Source organism: Homo sapiens, chromosome 19, assembly GCF_000001405.40.
Source record: "Homo sapiens chromosome 19, GRCh38.p14 Primary Assembly".
NCBI lineage: Eukaryota > Metazoa > Chordata > Mammalia > Primates > Hominidae > Homo > Homo sapiens.
The window spans coordinates 18,476,400-18,497,072 of NC_000019.10; the positions used below are offsets into that span (position 1 = coordinate 18,476,400).

Genomic DNA, 20,673 nt, shown 5'->3' on the forward strand with positions numbered 1-20,673 from the left:
CCCAAGGAACTGTGCCAGGGCAGCCCCAGCTGTGCAAGGCTGAGGGTGACAGGCCTTGAACACACTGGCCCTCCCACCCACCCCGTGGCTCCATGCTCCCTGTGGGCCACGCCATCCAGTGAGGCATTTAACCAGGTTCTGGTAGCTGACTGTCAGGTGGGTCACCTTCAAGACTCCTTTCTTGCCAAGTCGCTTATCCCCCAAGGGTATGGAGAACAAGACTTCATGCCTCAGAGGAGAAGGGCTGAGGGGCCACAGAGCCAGCCTTTCTCTATGATGCCAGGAGGGCTAACCTCAAGTGCCTGTCCCCATGAGAGGTGGCCGTCATCATGGCCAGGCTCCCAGCCACTCTGGCTCACACTGTATCCCCACCCTCCAGCAGGAGACCAGGCCCTTGTTAACAACAGAGCAATTCACTCCTAACATCACGCACGCATGAGGGTGACAGACACAGGACGCACCCAGCCATTAACAGACACGGGCACTAAGGCTAACTCCCGTCTAAATCATGGCCAGCCCTGTGCGGACCATCGGGCAGGGACCCACCTCATAAGAACGCCATGTGGTATCTATAAGCAGAACCCTACAGACACGTGAAGCAGCAGGAAAACGAGACTCCTAAGCCAGGGGGAAAATGAGTCGGCACAAAGACGTGGGAAGCACAGAGATGCCGACTGAACAGACAGGGGCTTTGGGACAGCTACTGTGAACTTGGAATGCTCCAAGCCTAAAGGAAAACAGCTGAAGAGGAAGACGTACGGGTATCGTGAGAGAGCCACGAGGGGCTTCTGGAGCTGAGACACGGAGGATCGGAATGAAACGGCCACTAGGTGGAAGTCACAGCAGGCACCACAGAAGAAAAGGGCAGCGAACTTGAAGACAAAGCCACAGGAGCCACCTAGATGAATCCCACAGTAAGAAGCCTACAGGAAACGAACACCACCTCGGTGACCTGCGGACGACAGCAGGGGATCCCACGTGCAAGTAACTGGAGTCCTGAGGGCAGGCGGGGGATCTGAGAAAAGAGTGGCCAGAGATTCCCAAATGTAACAAATGCTATAAATCCACAGACCCAAGAAGCCTTGTCAACCCCCAGCAGGAAAACTACCAGGTCGTGGCGCATCATGAGCAAATCAGCACAGCCACAACAGTCGCCCCAAGTGCCGAGGTGCCGACACTGCACATCAGGAGCCAGCCCCGACACTGGGAGGGCATCTTCAAAGTGCTGAGGGAGAAACACCGCCAGACCACAATTCCATGCCCAGTGAAAAGAGAAAGGGAAATAAAGATTCGCTCAAACAAATGCTGAGAGAATCTTCTGTCAGCATCTGGCCTGCACTGTGAGGAAGGTTCTAGAAGTTCTTCAGAAGGAGGGAGAGTGACCCTAAATGGACCTATGGATTTGCAGAGGATGACGCGGGCACAGTGAGCATGCATGAATAGAAAAGGCTTTTTTCTTATGATGTTTCTGCAAAAGATCATTCAAGGCATAAATTACGGTAGTGAGGCTGGGGTTTTGAATGTGGGGTGCTAAATAGATGGTGATGAGAACACAAGGACTGGGTGGGGGGGATGAGAAAAAACACAGAAAGCAGCTGGGGTGCAGTGCCCTGACAAGCCAATCAAGGGCCCAGGAGGTGAGTGTCGGCTGCAGACAGGCAGAGCCAGCTAGGTCCCTTCACGGTGGGACCAGCTGTCACCCTCTGTGCTCACCAGCCTGGCCTGGTGGGGACGCCTGACAGCATGTGGCCCACCACACCCTCTTCTGGCTGCTCCCTCCAGAGCCAACATGCGTGGTGTCATGGCCGAACCCTTGTCAGGGGGGCCAAGCGCCTCGTTACCTCATCTATGAAGCAGGACAGAGGGTCAGGAACAGACTGTAGCACAGGTGATTTCCCTGCTGCCTTAGAAGCTTTGGGGTTGGCCTCAGGCTGCATTAATTAAATAACGGGGTAACTCAGTAGCACATGACACCTGCAGGGTACTGCCCATCTCACACCCAAGAACACCCAGCAGGGGAGAGCCATGCCTCAGGCCACCGCCTGCCCAGTCTCTGTAGACCCTCTGAGGGGTCATCACCCCCACAAGTCCTCTCAGGCCCTCGAGTGGCAAAAATCCAACTTTCATTACCCAGCATGAGGTATGGAACTGGGAGCTCCTGAGATACAAAGTCACCCCCGCTGCTGTACTTCAGGCCAGGGCCCCAGGTGGGAGCTGGGGAGCCTGGTAGGGCCGCCACAGCTGGCCTGACACAGTCAGCAGGTCAGCTGGGTCTTCAAGGCCGGACAGGCAGGCACTGAGCTGTGCCGAGGCTGGTGCTCCCCAGACCCAACTGGACTTCAGACCCTGACTCGGAGAACAGACCTCAACACAGCAGGGCAGTGATGCCTGCGCCCTGCGGTCACTTGGCCTGGGCGCCCACTGGGGCTACTGAACACAGACTGGGAGACTCCTGTAGGCAGCTCCCCCTCAATGAGGACACTCCTGTAAAGACAGCAATGCCTTTGGGAAAAGGGTCGAGGGTGCAGAGCCTGGGAGGCAGTGAGAGTCCTCAATGCTGAGACAGAGGAAAGGGTGAGGAGGAACCTCTCCAGGGCCAGAATCCCCTGATCCTCTCCCCTCCGGCAAAGAGCACTTCCGGGGATGAAGCAACAGGAAGTGGCTTACGAAATCCACCTCCAGGCCGAGTGACCAGTTTACAGGAAGTGTGGTGGGTGAATCTTCCCCAGGGCACGAGGCAATGTCTGGAGCCATTTCTGGTCCTCACCACTGAGGGCGGGGACAGTCCCCACCATCTGGCTCGGGGGAGGCCAGGGATGCTGCTCAGCACACTGCAGGCAACACAGAACCTCCTGCCCCAAATGTCAAGCAGTGCAGGGGCTGAGAAGCCCTGGGCTGACCCTGCCACGGGAAGCGACCATCAGAGCAGAAAGCAGAAAAATCTATGGGAAAAAAGACCTGCTCCCTTCAACAAATATAAAATATAAATGGAAAAGTTACGGGTGAAGAAGAACGTATCTGATTGTTGGCCAGGCATGGTACCTCACACCTGTAATCCCAGCATTTTGGGAGGCTGAGGCAGGTGGACTGCTTGAGGTCAGGAGTTCAAGACCAGCCTGACCAACATGGTGAAACTCCATCTCTACTAAAAATACAAAAATTAGCCAGGCATGGTGGCATACGCCTATAATCCTAGCTACTCGGGAGCCTGAGGCAGGAGAACTGCTTGAACCCGGTAGGCGGAGGTTGCAGTGAGCTGAGATCAAGCCACTGCACTCCAGCCTGCACGACAGAGTGAGACTCCATCTCAAAAAAAAAAAAAAAAAAAAATCTAGGATTGTTTTAAAAACTCTCCAGCAAAGACAGAAACTAGGGAGAGGGCACAGTGAAGAGATGAGACACACAGACAGATGGACGGGGCCCAATCTGGCCAGGTCCCAGGATACCTGCTACCAGCCTGGGGACAATGAGGCCCAAGGCAGCAGGTGCCAAGGCTGCCCCAAAGACACATGATCCTTCCCACCACCCTCCAGAAGCACCCACTCAGCAGAAGTGCCCACTCTCCCCAGGCAGCACGTTCTCCCTGCTGTCTACTGGGCAAGGCCTGCCACCCCACCCCTGATGCAGGAAATGACAGAAAGGAATGCATCTGTTCCTTCTTCAGAAGTCCATCTTGCTGACTCTCCCAAGCACCAGTGTCAGCACACACGTCCTGATCTTACAGAGCTGGGTCACCCTGCCAAGCCACGGCGTGTGGTCCAGCAGAGGGAAGGTGAAGTCCCGGGAAGAGCCCTGGACGGTGGCCTCCCCACAACAGGCCCCCCCTTTCCAGTAAAGCACAAATGATTGGGAAACGCTATTCAGGAATCCTCCTTGAGACTTCCTGGCAGGACTGGAGCAGGACATTGAGGCCACGGAGAGTTTAGACAGTGACTGAGTGGGGCTGTCTCCGTGAACTACAAAACAAAGGAAGATCTGCCCAGTGAGCTTGGTTGGCTCAGGGACGAGCTAGGGAACTTGGACAGACACATTGTGGACCTCACTGGTTCCAGCCTAGGGAACCAGGTGGCCACGGTCAGGGCAGAGCAGAGGGCAGGACCCACGGCAGCTCCTCTGCCAGCCTGGGAGGACAGATGGTGTGTTCAGCAGGCCAGGTGGGCCTGTAAGAGCAGGAAAGGGACTCCAACTGGCTACAAGCCAAGTGTAATTCAGTGGCCGGCATAGCAAGTATTTTTTTTCTTTCTTTCTTTTTGGAGATAAGCTCTCACTCTGTCACCCAGGCTGGAGTGCGGTGGTGTGAACACGGCTCACTGCAGCTTCGACCTTCTAGGCTCAGGTGATCCTCCTGCCTCAGCTCCCGAGTAGCTGGGACCACAGGCACACACCAACACACCTGGCTAATTTTTCTATTTTCTGTAGAGATAGGGTTTTGCCATGTTGCCCAGGCTGGACTTGAACTCCTAGGTTCAAGCAACTCGACAGACTCAGCCTCCCAAAGTGCCAGGATTACAGGTGTGAGCCACCGCACCCAGCCCGCAGCAGATATTTCTATCTGCATTCACGAAGGTGCATAGAAAGCTTATGGAAAAGGGTTTTTCAGAAATCTTGTAGACAAAAATATGCAGATTGCCCAAAACTGTGGCCTCTACACGCTCCACGCACCTTGCTTGCTTTTCCCAGGACAGCACGCTGAGCAGGCCACCTTCCTTTCTGCCCAATTTCCTGCATCCCCACTTGGAGACTGACCCTCCCCGCACCCTCAGCAATCCTGGATCTGTTTTTTTGTCCCTATGGTTTTGCCTTTCCAGAAAGTCTTATCAATGGAATCACATAAGATGAGTTTCCCGTGGTCCTTGCAACAACTGAGCATAAACTTGTGGCTTAAAACAATGGAAACTGGTTCTCTCACGGACTGGGGGCCAGAAGTCTGAAATCCAAGTGTTAGCAGGCTCCCTCCTTTTGGGGGCTCTAGGGGAGGACCTTTCCTGGCCTCTTCACCTGCTGCAGGCTCAGGCACTCCCTGGCTTGTGGCTGCATCACCCTAATCTCTGCCCACTGGGGTCATGCAGCCTTCAAGTCCTCTTCTGTCTACATTAAATCTGTCCCTCTCTTACGAGGACACTTGTGATGACAAACAGGGACCACCCAGATAATGCAGGGTAACCTCCCCATCTCAAGATCCTTAACCTAATCTCATCTGCAAAGTCCCTTTTTCCACAGAAGGTTACACTCACAGGTTCCTGGAATCTGCTGTGGCCATGATTCAGCCAACCACCTACTCAGCATGACGCCTTTGAGATCCATCCTGTGTGTTGCCCCGCAGTATAAATACGCCACCTTCCCGTGCATCCATTTGCTGGATGAAGGACACAGGTTGTTTCCAGTCTGGAGAATTAATGAATCAAGCAGCTATAAATACTCATGGACAGGTTTTTCTGTGGACGTGTTTTCATTTCACTTGGTGAACACCCAGGAGCCCGACTGCTGGGTTACAGAGTAGGTGTACATTTAATTTAATATGAAACTGCCAGGCTGGCTCCCAAAGTTGCTGTACCATTTTGTACTGCCGCCGGCAGCGAATGAGAGTTCCTGTTGCTCCCCATCCACGTCAACATTTAGTGCTGTCAGCTTATTTAAAATGTCAGCCATTCTGGTAGGTGTGTGGTGCAGTGACAGCTCGTGGAGGTTCATGTTTGGGTTTCCCTGCTGATTAAGCATGTTGAGCATCTTTTTACAGGCTAATGTGCCATTCTTCTAGCTTCAGTGGTGAAGCTGTACAAATCTTTATCCCATTTTTAAAAATTGGGTCATTTTCTTACTAAGTTTTGAGGTTTTTTTTTTTATATACAAGAGCTTTATCAGATAAATTTTACATTTTACTCCTAGTCCATGGCTTGTCTTTTCATTCCTTTTTTTTTTTTTTTTTTTTTTTTTTTTAAACAGGGTCTCGCCCTGTCACCTAGGCTGAAGTGCAGTGGTGTGATCTCAGCTCACTGCAACCTCCGCCTCCTGGGTTGAAGCAATTCTCCTGCCTCTGCCTCTGCCTCTGCCTCTGCCTCCCAAGTAGCTGGGACTACAGGTGCGTACTACCACACCCAGCTTATTTTTTTGTATTTTTAGTCGAGACGGGTTTTCACCATGTTGGCCAGGCTGATCTCAAACTCCTGACCTCAAGTGATTTCGGCCTCCCAAAATGCTGGGATTACAGGCGTGAGCCACTGCGCCTGGACTGCCTTTCCATTCTCTTAACAGTATCTCTCAAAATACAGAAGTTCTTAATTTTGATGGAGTGGAATTTTTCAATTTTTTTCTTTTATGGGTGGGTCTTGATTTTGTGTCTTAGTTCCTCCCATCTTTTTGGTTTTTGTTGTTGTTGTTGTTGTTGTTGTTGTTGTTGCTGCTGTTGTTTTGAGACAGGGCCTCACTCTGTTGCCCAGGCAGTGGGCAGTGGCACTATCACAGCTCACTGCAGCCACAGTCTCCTGGGCTCAAGAATCCTCCCACCTTATCCCCAAGCAGCTGTGCCACCATGCCCAGCTACGTTGTTTTTTTAACTCTTTTGTAGAGGTGGGGGTCTCCCTGTGTTGCCCAGGCTGGTCTCAAACTCCTGGGCTCAAGCGATCCTCTCACCTCAACTTCTCAAAGTGCTGGGATTATAAGCGTGAGCCATCACACTCCCATCTTTTTTTTAAATAGCTCTATTTTAGGAAAATCCTCCAAACTGCCATTCTTTACCAACTCCCCTCTCCCCTCCCAAACTAGCAGCTCTGGGTAACTCCTGCCTACACCCGTGGCTGCCACAGCCCCCAGTGAAGGGTCTCTCAGATTCCTTTGTCTGCATGCACCCTGGGTCATGACCACAGATGCTCCCTGGATATTCCCCGGATGCCACCGCCCACCTGGCAGTTGCAGTGCAGGGTTTTTGGACACTATCCAGGTCCTTCTTCCAGAAGGCGCTCAGCAGGTGAGCAGAAAGTGGCCTGTGTCTCATGGGAAGCCCCTCAGATGTCTGTCCATTCCTGCGTCATAGCTGGGGGTGGGGGAGCTGCTTGGACTCCCTGTCCGTAGAAATCACAGCCAAATCACACGCAAGGACTCGTGGTACCACAGACGGCCAGCCTCCATCACTAACCCACTCTCATCCTAAACTGCATGGGATCGGGTTCCGGTTGTTACAACTGAGGAAAATGAGGTACTGAGAGAGGACAGGGCTGCCCGAGGTCACAGCAGACCTCATCCCAACCTCACAGGAAAACTGAGCCCTGGGGTCCCCATGAAGATTTCACAACTTATCCAACCTCACATGATCCCAGGGTAGCAGGATATGACAAACATTTACTACACAATTCTTCAAGTTACAGTGCTTCTATGTCCCTGAGCCCTGCTTCATCAGACAGACAGAAGTCTCCCTCCAAGGGAGGGACAAGCACCCTGCCTGCCCTGCCCACCCTGCCTGCACCTCCATGGGTCAATCTCCAGGCATGGCCCAGGCCTGCTTCCAGGACAGTGCATCTCAGAGCCATGCAACCCATGCCTGGCACAAGCCCTCCTGCCAACACCTTAACTTTGCCTTTCCCCCTTATTATTCCACCTTTTGCATCTGCCTTTCTTCAAACAGGGAAAGACGCTGTCGTATGTGGGCACCTGCTGCACAAGTACACTCCATGGGCACCTGGGCCACAGTGTCAGGCCCCTCTGTCCCCTCTAGCGCACTCTGCAGTGTCTGAAACAGAGCAAATCTGCAAGTGCCAGTGTGATGGGCACAGAATCCCGTTTGGCAGCCAGACGCTGTGGTGGCTCACGCCTGTAATCCCAGCACTTTGGGAAGCCGAGGTGGGTGGATCACTTGAAGTCAAGAGTTCGAGACCAGCCTGGCCAACGTGGTGAAACCCCCATCTCTACTAAAAACACAAACTTTGGCCAGGCGTGGTGGCAGGTGCCTGAAATTCCAGCTACCCGGGAGGCTGAGGCAAGAAAATCGCTTGAACCTGGGAGGGGGAGGTTGCAGTGAGCCAAGATCATACCACTGCACTCCAGCCTGGGCAACAGAGTGAGACTCAGTCTCAAGAAAGAAAAATAAAAAATTTAAAAATTAGCCAGGTGTGGTAATGCGCACCTGCAGTCCCAGCTACTCAGGTGCTGAGGCAGAAGGATCACCTAAGCACAGGCGATCGAGGCTGCAGTGAGCCATGGTTCCACCACTGCACTCCGGCAGGGGTGACAGAGAGAGATACTGTCTTTAGAACAAAACAAAACAAAACATAACAAAACCGGCAAGGAAGCACATGAGGCTTCACAACCAATGCTCTTTTGCCTCCACCTGTGCTCCTCAAGAGGAGTGCAAGAGTTTGGTGGGGTTTTGTTTTTCTTTTTAATCATTCACTAAAACTCACCAACAACAGGTACTGGACCTAGGAATTTTGAACGGAAGGCCTTCGAGAAACTGCCCTCTCACCAAACCTGCCTTCTGCCCATGGTCTGCGGTGCCAGATAACAACTGCTTTCCCCCAGACAACAGTGACCATGATCTGATCACATCTGACAATGGAAGAAGCTAAGGGACTGACCTAGGTCACTGGGGTCCTCCAGGGCACAGCATGGGCCTCTCCTAGCCCTGGGTTCCTGACGTTTCTGAGGTGAATGAGAACGCTCTAGGGCCTGACATGGGCCATCCCCTCATCAGAGCCCAGGCCAGGCCTCTGTGGGGGTTGGGTCCCTGAGAATGCAGCTCTGCCTTGCCACTGTGCTTCCTGCTCAGGCAGCTAGGAGGTCCCAAACCCCATTCACCTCCATGGGACTATTTGGAGCCCAGCAGAAGCGGCCCATGGGCTCTCCTCTCCCCAGGAGGCCCCTCCAGGCCTCCATCTCAACTCCCCTGCAGACAAGGCCATGTGTGTGCCTTCGACCTGTCAGTCTGTAGGGCCACCTCACTTTTGGGCCTTCCAAGCTCAACTGCTATTAGAGCGCCTCCTCTCTGCCACACTCCCAAGGCCACCCGTCCTCAGCCTCACCACAGAGCAGACTGGCCCCTTCTGCCGAGCCCCAGTGCACCCAAGCTTTCCAGCTGCCTCCACCTCTCCCCTGAAAACAGCTAACACTCCACTATGGGAGCCCATCTCCTCCCAGGGCCAGGGAGACCAGGGAGACCAGGGAGACCAGGTCTGGCCCCCAACTCTAAGGCTCATCTTAGAGGCGAGATTCAGGCCCAGCCCAGGGTGCCCCATGAGGCCTGGTGGTTGGAGGCAGAGGGTATCCCTTGCCCAAATTCGTGCCACATTCACAGTCACTGGGAAAGCTACGGGGATGGGCCGGGCGCGGTGGCTCACACCTGTAATCCCAGCACTTTGAGAGCCAAGACGAGCGGATCACGAGGTCAGGAGATTGAGACCATCCTGGTTAACACGGTGAAACCCCATCTCTACTAAAAATACAAAAAATTAGCCGGGCGTGGTAGCACACGCCTATAGTCCCAGCTATTTGGGAGGCTGAGGCAGGAGAATTGCTTGAACCCAGGAGGCAGAGGTGGCAGTGAGCCAAGATCACACCACTGCACTCCAGCCTGGGCGACAGAGCGAGACTCTGTCTCAAAAAAAAAAAAAAGAAAGCAAGCTACGGGGATGAAAACAGTTAAGGCACTCTCCTGGATGCATCACGAAGCCCCTCAGCCACTGTTTCTCCCTGAGAGCACAGCCACCCCCTGCTGACCTTGGCAGGAAGCAACAAGCCCCACAGCACAAACACCCCCAGGCTGCCCTGCAGAGGGGGCTCCACCTCGGGTGGGAGCCCTGCAACCTGGGAAGGAATCTGGGGAGGGGCTTCTGTGTGAAGCTTAGCTCAGGGCCCCAAGGGCGGTCAGTGTCAGGCACTGGCTCAACAGGGGCAGGAAGAGAGAGGCTGCTGAGCACCTCGTCCTCAGGCCACTCTGCCCCGTTTCTAACAGTCTATGTACAACAGACCCACCCAAGATGTACTCTGTGACCCAGAGTGGGGGTGCGGTCCTGGGAGTGTCCACTGTGGATGTGACCCAGGTCAGAAGGAGATGGCAGCTTGCCAAGCTACCAAGGCACACACTCAGGACCCAGGAGGACCGTCCTTCCTCCTCCGGTGGTCGGCCACACTCACCAAGGCTGCCCCTGAGGCCCTCAGAGACCCAGGCGGTTCTGAGAAGGGAGCCTGTCTCTGAAGCAGAAACCACGCCCTTTCACGGGGCCCCTGTGTCACGTCAGCCGCCTGGATGATTCACAGCTCCGCACCGGACTCGGCTCTTACCGCCTCATCTCATTGTCTGCTCACTGCAACCTCTGCAAAGCACCCAAACCCCTGTCCCAGAAGATAGGCAAAGATCACAGAAAAATAAGAGGATGCCAAGAGAATCTGGCACCCTTCAAGGCATGACCCGTGGTCCCCAGCCAGTACTCACTGCAAGGGTGCTCTTAGGTCCCCTTCCCAGTTTGAACCTGCAACCTGGGAGCTGCCACATCTGGACCTCAGGGATGTGACCTTGCCAGCCACAAAGGTTGGCATCGGGTCCTGCCTGCCACCTCACCCACATGCGCCTCTGCAGCCAACCAAAGCCTTCCAAGATGCTGGCCTCCACCGTCAGCTACATGCCATGCTGACACCTCCGATGCTTCCACCACCACGCAGTGGGTAAATCCTAATCACTCAGGAACACAAAGAAGGCCCTGTGCGTGTAGACCCTGCTGCTCAGACCCCGCTACCCCCCACCAGGAGACCCCCTGAGAAAGGAGTAACTGCTTCTGAGCCATTGCCCATATGGGCTGGCATTCCCCATAAAAACCCATTGAGGGCTCCAGAGGCTTCTGGGAACATCTGGACAATCCAACCACCCCAGAGAGTAGGGTCACCCCTCAAATGGGCAGGCCCAGTGAGGACAGAGCAAGCGTTACATATGTGTCCTGAGGTGGGCATCAAGGAGGTGCCACGAGAGCCAGGCCCCAGTCTTCCTTCGTGCTTGAGGAGCAGCTGGGTTTGGGGGACAGTTGCCCTCAGCATGGCCATAAACCACCTTGAGTGCTTAGGATGCGCACAGATCCCTGAATGTGCTGTCTCAGGAAAATCCTCCACCTTGCTGGGTCTGACAGAGGCAGCTGCATGAAACCAGCCCACTTTTAACTTTAGAGACAGAACCTGATGTGGCCACGGCCAGGCTGCACTAGCCCCTCAGGGAGGCCCCAGGCCAGATAAGCACTGCCTGCATCTTCCACTGAGGAACATCTCTGGGACGAGGACCCGTGCAGCTGCCTGATGCTCAGGTTCATCACCAACAGCACCAAGTTGTTCCTCTGGAGAGAATGAATCAGTCCCTTCAGATCCTCATCCTCCTGAAAGTTGAGCACATGGCTTCTAACAGGCCCAGGTGCTTACCTTCGGAACAACGGGATCTTCTATTACCCAGAAAAACAAAGTAGAGCCTTCCCGGTACAATCTGTACTTTCAGAATCCGAACACTCAGGAGCTGTGCTCAGAACCTGGCTGGCAGGGCCTGCTCTGCCCCATCCAGCTGTGGTCCCAGCCACCAGACTCCAACCTACCCTGACAGGAGCCCTGTGCCTGCCGGCCCCACCTCACTCTGGCCACAACCAGGCTGGCAAGTGTCCACCGTGGTCTCTGCCCAGTAATAACCTCAGCAGTGTGGTATGGTGTGGACATCCTCACCTGGTGGGCCCATCCTGAGAAACATGCCTGAAGGCACCCGGCAGGTGAGCAGGGAGAGAGGTAGGTCCCAGCCCGCCTCTCCACCTGGGTCTTATCTCACAAAAGGATCGGCCCTGTTATTGGGTTAGGTCGTGGGTAAGCGTACACCAAGATCCGCCAACTGACTTCTTCCCAGAAAGATGCCCGTCCTTCAGAGCAAACGGCCTGACAAGAAATGTCACCAAACTGGACTCCTCCCCACCAGCAGCATAGAACCCAGAGCACAGCTCCCACAGAGCCAAAAGGAGACCACACAGCAGGAAGCACGTGGCACTGCCAAGCTGGATAGGAGCTGCAGAGGCAGCCTGTGACCAGCAGGGCATGTGCTGGCCAGGGCTGGCCCAGGGCAAGTCCCCAAACCTCAGAGTACCCAGGAGGCCCTGGGGCTCAGGATCCAGGGCTCTAGGGAGGGGCTGCATGCTCCCAGCATCCACGGGGCGGGGGCTAGAACAGAACATGCTCTGCCAGGTGCTCAGCGCCCACACACCCTCAAAAGTCTGATCGCAGGGACCTTCTATGGACCGGGCTGTGCATCTTGAGGGCCAACTTCAAGCAAAGGAAAGCCTGATCACAGGGACCTTCTATGGACAGGGCTGCGCATCTTGGGGGCCAACTTTAAGCAAAGGAGGAGACTGAGGCTCAGGGAAGCCAGGTGCCTTGCTTAAGGCCACCAGCTCAGTAAGTGGCAGGGCTTGAGCTGAAACACAGGACTCTCCCAAAATGACGAGGCAATGGCACCCTGCTATGTCAGAATGTGTCTTTTCTCCTTCCAAACTGACAAACTGACTCTTCACAGGCGCAGGTCATGCGTCCTGGACCGGCTGACCAGAGTCCTGAACTGAAGCTGTGCAGGCGCGGGTCCCTGCATCTGCAGACCGACTTCCGTCATCCCACCTGCAGGGGGTGTGGAGGAGCCTTGCCTGACAGCCGGAGGGAGCTGGAGTCTGAAATCTCAGCTGCTCTTTTTACAGAACGTTTTGTCACCTGCCTTCAAATAAAAGCGCCCAATTTCGGCTCAAGGTGACATGGATTGGGTATTTGCCTAGCAGCTGACACACACCAGAAAGCAGGAGACAGCAGGAGCTCTGCCAAGTGTGCTGTGGATCTAGGTCAGAACATGGTGCAGGTGTGAGCGAGGGGGCGTCCTCCCAGGAACGCTAGCACAATTCCAGAAGTTTCAAGAGAATGCTGAAGTTCAGCCAGGTCAGACAACCACTTGACCGCGGACAGATTTAGAGAAAGTCATGCAGGCCTGGGCAGACCTCGGGCTGGCCGCCCCGGGTGCTCCCATCCCCCTCATGTTAGCCCCTGGTTCCCCCAACCACCACTCACTCCTGCTGGGACGTCAAGAGCCCCAGGTTCTTGGCTGCTGCCATCCAAGACCTGAGCCTCTCCCAGCCAGCTCTGGCACCTTCTCTAGTTTCCTCAGAGGGGAATCTTACCCAAGTATCTATTGGATCACTCCCTGCACACCCCAGCTGCCTGATAAGGCCGGCAGGCTTAGCCCTGCAGCCCCCAGCAGCCCACGCTGGCCCCTTCATGGTACTCACACTCAGTGCTGTGTGACCCCTGTGCCTACTGCAGTCTAGATCCTCCTGGGATCCACCTGGCCAACACCTCCCCCAAGGCGTCATCAGAGAGGCTTTCCAACTGTGAGGGCTCACTGGGGCCCCGGCCTCTGGCTGTGAGCATCTCACTGATTGGGGTGCGAGGTTGGTCTCTTCCCACCTAAAGGGGAGTTCCAGGAGGAGCAGTCCCTCCTGTTTCTGCTGACCCCTGGGGCTGATGGCCTAGCACTAGGACAACAGAATAAGGGCCCAGACGCGCACTGAGCAGAGATATGGAGCTGGCCCTGACCACGCTGTGGAGCCCGTGCTGGTCCCTCAAGCCTCCAGCCACCTGCACGCGGGGCCAGCCAGGCCAGGTGAGACACAGCCTTGCTTACACGCCAGCTGCGTCTGAGAGCAGAGAACCCTGCTGTCGCCTTCTCTCCTGGACGCAATCTAAAACAATCTCAACTTACAAAAAACCTGCAAGAACAGTACAAAGAACAGCCATATTCTGTGACGTTTCTGCCACCTGCCCCTCCCCCCCACCCACGCCTATTATCCACATACTTAGATGTAGCAACACACTTGCTTCTTGAACCATTTGAGGGCCGGCTGGAGACTTTGCCACACTGTGCCCCTAAACGCAGCATGTTTCCTGAGAGTAAAAATACTCTTCTGGGCCGACACAGCAGGGACCAGCTTCACATTTATTATTAATATGACACTTCAAGCCACCGTCTGTCTCCCAGGTCATTGCCTGACTTGGTGGTGACCTCACATTGTCCTCCCCGCAGCGGGAGCCCATGGGCAGTGGCACACTGCACTCAGCTGCCCTCATCAGCTGCCTCTAATCTGCAAGTTTCTTGGCCATTCTTCAACATTCAATGTTTTTGGGTAACATAGACCCCTCCTCACTTTCTTCATCAGAGTGTGCTGGATTTTGGGTCTGCTTGGTGTCTCCTGAGACCAAATGCATGGTATCTTCCCGGCCAAGAGCCACACAGTGACCACGGCCCTCGGAAGGCATCCCACCCTCATCAGCCGTGAGCTCTGACGGCCCAGACAGCGCTGCCCCGTGCCACAACCCTCCTCCCCTCAAATCTCCCAGCAGGTACCCACTGCACACCCGCAGCCCCAGGTGTAGTGCCTGCCATCTGCAGTTTGGCTATGGTGGCCATAAAACCCTGGTTCTATCTCCACTGGCCTGGGGAGGAGCCCCCTCTCTCCCCGGTCTCACACATGCTCACCACCGGCAGCAGGTGACATTCTCACACATGCTCACCACCAGCAGCAGGATGGCTAGCATCACACATCAATGTGGTTAGGCTACAGTATCCAGCTGTTTGGCCAAACAACAGTCTAGATGTTGCCATGAAGGTATTTTTCAGATGAGATTAACATTTAAATCAGTAGACTGTTTTGTTTTTTCCTTTGAGACAGGGTCTTGCTCTGTCGCCCAGTCTGGAGTGCAGTGGTGTGATCACAGCTCGCTGCAGCCTTGACCTCCCTGGCTCAAGCAATCCTCCCACCTCAGCCTCCCAAGTAGCTGGGACTACAGGTGCTCACCACCACACCTGGCTAATTTTTTTTTTTTTTTTTTTTTTTTTTTTTTTTTTTTTTTTTTTAGTAGAGATGGAGTCTTACTGTGTTGCCCAGGCTGGTCTTGAACTCCTGGGCTTTAGCAATCCTTTTGCCTCAGCCCCATAAAATGCTGGGATTACAGGTGTGAGTCACTCTGCCAGGCCAAAATCAGTAGACTTTGAGTAAAGCAGATCACCCTCCAACGTATGGGTGGGCCTCGTCCAATCAGTCGAAGGCCTGGAGGGCCTCTGGCAGAAGGACTCTAGGCTTGAGCTGCAACATCCACTGTAACCTAGGTCTCCAGCCTGCCGTCCTGCCCTGCAGATTTTGACCTTGTCCCCCCAACCCCATAAATGCTTAAGCCGATTCATTAAAATAAAGATGGACCAGGCACAGGGGCTCATGCCTATAATCCCAGCACTTTGGGAAGCCAAAGCAGGAGGATCGTTTGAGCCCAGGAGTTGGAGACCAGCCTGGGCAACATAGTGAGACCCTGTCTCTACAAAAAAAAACAAAAGATTAGCTGGGTGTGATGGCACACACCTGTGGTCCCAGCTATGCAGGAGACTGAGGCAGGAGGATTGCTTGAGCCTGGGAGGTTGAGATTGCAGTACAGCCTGGGTGAAAGTGTGAGACCCAGTCTAAAAAATAAATAAAATAAAGATGACTTTATATTTACCTACCTACCTCTCTTCTCTCTAAATATACATATACACACACTCCCTTTAGATTCTGTTTTGAGAGCCCTGACCAATACAGACTCACAGGCTACCTTTTGCAAATGGCCTGGAGCACGACACTGCCCTTAAAGTCTTCATGTTCAGATTGTCCCAGGCTGGCTTTTTGTACTGGCTCCTGGCTCTTCCCCAACCTCCTCTGAGCCCCCACTGAGACCATGACACTAGGAGAGGATCCAGGCTCCACCCGGCCTGTTCTGGCCACACCATGGGGTTACCTACCTCTGTGAGGAGGCCACATTCGGTGACCTGGAAGCTTCCTCATCCGTCATGGTGACGCTGCTTACAGAGGTCTCCTGCACGGGACAGCTCCCCACTGCCCTATGTGCAAGGACGGCCATTCCTGCATGGCTCAGCCTAGGGGTGTCCTTGAATTTGAGTGGGATGAAGGAACATATCTGTTTTTCATAAACTAAAACGTAGCATTTCCTTCCATTTGAAACATAAGCAATAAGCTACAGTGGTATCAGCACTATCTGTGCCTCTGACGTGCTGTTAGTGCATCCAACGATGGCTGTGCTGCTATCTGGAAATGCCACTTCAGCTCACCACTAATTATGGCAGTGAGACTCGCTACTCAATCTCATTATTAATGTGTTAAAAGAGTCAATCTGTTACTGGGTCACATATTTCTTTTGAGCGACTGATAACTCTCCTGACACACAAGTGTGCCCTCTCCTCCTCTCTGCCAAAGGCATCCCCAGACCTCTCAACTACCAAGGAGGGGAGGTGACAGAAGCTGAAGCTGGCAGAGGGCAGCTCAAGTCAGAAAGCAGGGCTGGAGTCCAGCAGCCAGGCCCAGGCCCAGCTCCACTGCCCTCTAAGCGGCATGGCCTTGGGTGGATGAGTGAGCCTCTCTGAGCCTCAGTTTTCTCTTCTGGAAAAATGGGGCCGTGAAGTCCCACTGGCCAGGCTGCGATGACACCAGGAAAAGCTAGGACAAGTTCATTCCCCCACTCCTCTCATGATTCCTCCCCTCCAAATGAAAAGCCATTTCATTTGCTTCCCACTCTCCAAATGAAAAACCATGACCTTGTCACCTGCTGCTCCTAATCCCCAGGTGGCTTCTAAAGCCAACAGTGACAAGCAGAGGGAAGAGCAGGCTGCCTTCATCTTCCCCTCCGAGACCAGACCACAAGGGTGACCGAGAAGGAAAGATGGAGCTTATCCCATGGAGACAAGCCACTTCTACAAGTCCAGGGATTTGTCTGAGATAATAAAGGAATGGGGCTGGGGATCCCATCAGGGCAATTCAGAAACCCTGGTGAAAAGAAGGGCCGCTGTCACCACAGTGGCCCACCAGGCCAGGGGGAAGCTGTGCCCACACCTTCCAGAAAAGATGGGCTCTGTGCTGCGGCCCTGAGGGGCTTGCCCTGGGCCCTGGGCAGCATAACAATGCATCTGGCCCCTCTGAAGCCAGGGCTGTGCTGTCACTGCTGGCCAGGGCAGGGAGGGCTGGCTCCCCAAATGCAGGGCCTGGTGCTCCAACTTGGGTGGAAAACAGAGACCCTGAACTGGGAGTGAGCTGCCGCACTTGGGAGGAGAGAGTGACATGAACATGGTGTACTCTCAACCTCTGACCCATACCGGCAACCCGACAGGCAAGGCACGCAGAACGACTGCAGCCAGACGGCCCCACACTCCACAGACGCCTGGAAGGGAGGCGTGTGTCCAGCTGTCTCCACCTGGACTCCCAAGGCTCAGTTGGCCCTGCCTCAGGCCCTGCCCCAGAAGTGCCCAGCTCCCTAACAGGGGCTAGGGAAGAAAGTGGCCTACAGGCCCACCAGCAACCCCATCCCTTTCTCATGGCCCGGGAAAGGCCTGCTGGGTCACTGACCACTCCTCATAGCTCTTTGCTCTCTTGTCTGCACACACAGATGTCCACCAGTGGGGACAATCCTGAAGACAATTGAAAGGTGATCTAACCTACGAGGGCACAGTAAAGTGAGTTCATGGCCTCTTGTCCCAAGCAGGTAGACAGAAACAACAATCAGTACCAGAAATCCATCCAAGGACAGGCAGGTCCACACAGACCAGAGGCCCCCAAGATATCTCCAGGTCTTTCTCCCTTATTCCAACCTCACTCCTCCTCTCCACTGCCCAGAGTGAATCGCCACAAAAAAAAGTTTCTGTTTGGAGACTGAGGTAGGAGGATCGTTTGAGCCCAGGAGTTCAAGGTTATAGTGAGCTGTGATCAAGCTACTCCACTCCAGCCTAGGCAACAGAGCAAGACCCTGCCACGAAAAAAATTTTAAAAAGAGGGGAGGGGAAGGGGAGGGGAAGGGAAGGGGAGGGTCAAAGAGAGAGAGAGAAAAAGGAGAGATTTGGATGTAGACGGTGCCAGCCATGACAGCATCAGCTCCCAGCCCACGTAGGAAGGAAAGGAAGAAAGTTAGTTTCTTTTTTGTTTTTTTGTTTTTTTTTTTGAGACGGAGTCTTGCTCTGTCACCCAGATGGGAATGCAGTGGCGCGATCTCTGCTCACTGCAGCCTCCTCCTCCCAGGTTCAAGCAATTCTGTCACAGCCTCCCAAGTAGCTGGGATTACGGATGCCTGCCACCACACCTGACTAATTTTTGTACTTTTAGTAGAGACAGGGTTTTGCCGTGTTGGCCAGGCTGGTCTCGATAATCTGACCTCAAGTGATCCGCCCACCTTGGCCTCCCAAAGTGCTGGGATTGCAGGCATATGAGCCACCGCACCAGGCCAGAAGTTAATTTCTGATTCCCACTCTCTGCCCTCCCCTCCCCCTCCCCACCTGTGCTGATGACAGACCCCACTGTCCAGCCTTCTGGGCTCTGACCAGGTGGGGCATCTTCCTGTCTCTGCCTTCAGAGCTTGGGAGGCCCCACCCGTACCTGAGCTGGAGCCTCACCTTCCTCCACTTCCCTAGCCGGGTGGCATCTGGACAACTCTACCCTGTACCTCTAGGCAGATGTGATCTCAGAACCACCATGTGCCCAGGATTTGAGAGTTGAAAAAGACAGCAAGGCAGAAGTCCAGGGCATATGGCTGGCGCTAACTCAATCAAGGTGTGGGCTATAACATGTTAGGCCCTGGGAACTCATCAGCCAAGGAGACAGATGTGGCCCTGCCCATTCAGAGCCCCTGGGCACAAATGTTGGAGTAGACAAAAACTAGAGTGACACAGGGACCCCTGGCAGGGCTGTTCTAACTGCCAAGGGTTAGGGACCACTGAGCCGAGAGCCGAGAGCAGAAGTGCAGGAGGCGAGCTGACCCCAGGAGACTGCAGGCCTTGTGGGGTGGTCTGTGGAGGAGTGGGGAGGGTCAGTGTCTGGCATGACAAGGCTCGGGAGCATCTGGGGGAGGGCCTGGCCCCACGTGCACATCACCAGCACCCTGGGCTGCTGGGGTGTGGAGAGGAACTGGCAACAGCAGCAAAAAGCCCAAGCAGGAGTTGGTGGGCCCCACCATTCCCACCCACTCACTCGCATCCCCATCAGGGAGGGCACAACACCCACCCAGCTGCCCTGAGTAGCACAGCTTGCAACTTCCTTGCTTCAGGCGTCAGGAGGACCCTAAAGGCTTCTTGGAAGCAGCGCCCCGCATGAGGGTGCCCAGCTCCCACTGCAGCTGAAGGAGGAGGGCCGAGAGCCTGCGGAGACAGGGCTGGTAGGCAGAGTGACAGGCGGCAGTGGCTGCCCCACTGAGGAGAAGAGGAGGAGCCACAAGCCCTGGCTGAGTGAGCAGAAGCCAGTCCCCCTGCCCCCTGTACGAGTGGCCACTCTGGGGCAGTATGCACTGCAGTGGAGGGATGGGGAGGCAGGCAGGTCCCACGCGCCTCAGCTTCCCAATACTGACCAAGACCTGGGCTGTAGGGGAGACTTGGACATGGACAGCGCCAGCCAGGGCAGGCCCACTGAGGCCTCTTCTGATCTTACCTTGGACTATGAGGCTTAGGGTGGAGGGCTGAGGAGCAGGCTCCCGCCACATGGGCCTGAAAGGGGCTAGCCTCCGTGAGCCCCTACCCTACCTGCTCCACACAGTGGGCGTTTGGAGGTGATGTGGGAGGTTTATATGGGGACTGCAGAGGGCGTGGAGATGCAGGCACAGTGCCACCGACACTCCACTCGGTCCCCACAACCTCCCGGACAGATGGGGTTACTCCCTCCTTATGGATGGGGAAACTGAGGCTCAGGTGAGGCCATGGCTGCGCCCCACAAAAGCACCTTTCAGTACTACTGGGCCAAACATTAGAACTTGATACCAGAGCTGTGACGGCCATGCCTGAGTGTGTGGGCGTGGTTGTGAAAAGAGCCACCCGTGAGCCCCAAGAGGTGGCCGGGCCACTGCCTCATCCAGAAAACTCCCCTGCATGCAGGAAGAGCTCAAGGGCTGCTGTGCAGAGACACTGGGTGAGGAAAGAGCTCAAAATCTCCCTGAGGGATGACTCAGGAGACAGAGACCTGACCAGACTCAGCCTCACACTGCACCCAGAGTGCTTCCTCTACTTCCTGTGGTAACAGAGCCTGTCTTCCTGGGCTCGAGAATAAATAAAACCAGGTCAAGTGCAGGTAACAACTTTTTTTTTTTTTTACCTTATTAGAAACATATAGTTTGGCAGGAGCTACAGAGATCATGGGTTGGAGGCGTGGAGTAGGGTTGGGGTTTGGCACAAGTCCAGGCACAGGCCCTTCCCCAGTGTCCCCTGCCAGCAGGTGGGGCCAGCTCCAGGCTGCTGCTGTCCACTCAGGTGGTGCGGACTGGGGGAGGTCCTTGCCAAGGCCAGGCGGGTAGCACAGGAACCTGTGGCTGTGGCCCGTCATACCAAGTCTTCCACTATGGGCAAACATCACTTCAATAATATAAAAAATCCAGAAGGAAAAGTCTAGTCTGAAATGACAATGAGATACCACCACATGCTTATTAGAATGCCCAAAACTCAGAACAGACAGCACCAAGTGCTGGTGAGGACATGGGGCAACAGGAACCTCATTCACTGCCGGTGGACATGCAAAATGGTGCGGCCTCAACAGATTCCTGAAAAACTAAACTAACATACTCTCACCATCCAATGCAATAATTGCACGCCTTGGTATTTGCCCAGAGGCACTGGAAACGTGCGTC

The 20,673-nt window shown here is 54.6% G+C and overlaps 1 protein-coding gene across 3 annotated transcripts in view, besides 8 other annotated features; it reads right to left on the reverse strand.

Annotated features, from left to right (window-relative positions):
- Window positions 1-20,673, reverse strand: part of ELL (elongation factor for RNA polymerase II) — a 79,408-nt gene that overhangs the window by 33,737 nt on the left and 24,998 nt on the right. The window contains exon 1 of one of the 3 annotated variants that reach the window (XM_047439479.1): window positions 760-10,162. The exons of the other annotated variants lie outside the window; for them this stretch is intronic. The gene's annotated coding sequence lies outside the window, so the exon portion shown is untranslated. Of the gene's footprint in view, window positions 1-759; window positions 10,163-20,673 lie in introns of those variants that run through there. 3 annotated transcript variants of the gene reach the window in all.
- Window positions 72-899: an enhancer, noted in NCBI's record as "H3K4me1 hESC enhancer chr19:18587281-18588108 (GRCh37/hg19 assembly coordinates)". NCBI's record gives its function as "activates a minimal SCP1, AML or CMV promoter by ChIP-STARR-seq in primed H9 embryonic stem cells {active_cell/tissue: H9 hESC(primed)}" and the evidence as "EXISTENCE:reporter gene assay evidence [ECO:0000049][PMID:30033119]".
- Window positions 2,155-3,057: an enhancer, noted in NCBI's record as "H3K27ac-H3K4me1 hESC enhancer chr19:18589364-18590266 (GRCh37/hg19 assembly coordinates)". NCBI's record gives its function as "activates a minimal SCP1, AML or CMV promoter by ChIP-STARR-seq in naive and primed H9 embryonic stem cells {active_cell/tissue: H9 hESC(naive and primed)}" and the evidence as "EXISTENCE:reporter gene assay evidence [ECO:0000049][PMID:30033119]".
- Window positions 2,471-2,540: an enhancer, noted in NCBI's record as "active region_14322". NCBI's record gives its function as "activates an Ori minimal core promoter by ATAC-STARR-seq in GM12878 lymphoblastoid cells {active_cell/tissue: GM12878}" and the evidence as "EXISTENCE:reporter gene assay evidence [ECO:0000049][PMID:35858748]".
- Window positions 7,219-7,719: an enhancer, noted in NCBI's record as "H3K27ac hESC enhancer chr19:18594428-18594928 (GRCh37/hg19 assembly coordinates)". NCBI's record gives its function as "activates a minimal SCP1, AML or CMV promoter by ChIP-STARR-seq in primed H9 embryonic stem cells {active_cell/tissue: H9 hESC(primed)}" and the evidence as "EXISTENCE:reporter gene assay evidence [ECO:0000049][PMID:30033119]".
- Window positions 7,720-8,220: an enhancer, noted in NCBI's record as "H3K27ac hESC enhancer chr19:18594929-18595429 (GRCh37/hg19 assembly coordinates)". NCBI's record gives its function as "activates a minimal SCP1, AML or CMV promoter by ChIP-STARR-seq in naive H9 embryonic stem cells {active_cell/tissue: H9 hESC(naive)}" and the evidence as "EXISTENCE:reporter gene assay evidence [ECO:0000049][PMID:30033119]".
- Window positions 9,068-9,653: an enhancer, noted in NCBI's record as "H3K4me1 hESC enhancer chr19:18596277-18596862 (GRCh37/hg19 assembly coordinates)". NCBI's record gives its function as "activates a minimal SCP1, AML or CMV promoter by ChIP-STARR-seq in naive H9 embryonic stem cells {active_cell/tissue: H9 hESC(naive)}" and the evidence as "EXISTENCE:reporter gene assay evidence [ECO:0000049][PMID:30033119]".
- Window positions 18,622-19,521: an enhancer, noted in NCBI's record as "H3K4me1 hESC enhancer chr19:18605831-18606730 (GRCh37/hg19 assembly coordinates)". NCBI's record gives its function as "activates a minimal SCP1, AML or CMV promoter by ChIP-STARR-seq in primed H9 embryonic stem cells {active_cell/tissue: H9 hESC(primed)}" and the evidence as "EXISTENCE:reporter gene assay evidence [ECO:0000049][PMID:30033119]".
- Window positions 20,257-20,306: an enhancer, noted in NCBI's record as "active region_14323". NCBI's record gives its function as "activates an Ori minimal core promoter by ATAC-STARR-seq in GM12878 lymphoblastoid cells {active_cell/tissue: GM12878}" and the evidence as "EXISTENCE:reporter gene assay evidence [ECO:0000049][PMID:35858748]".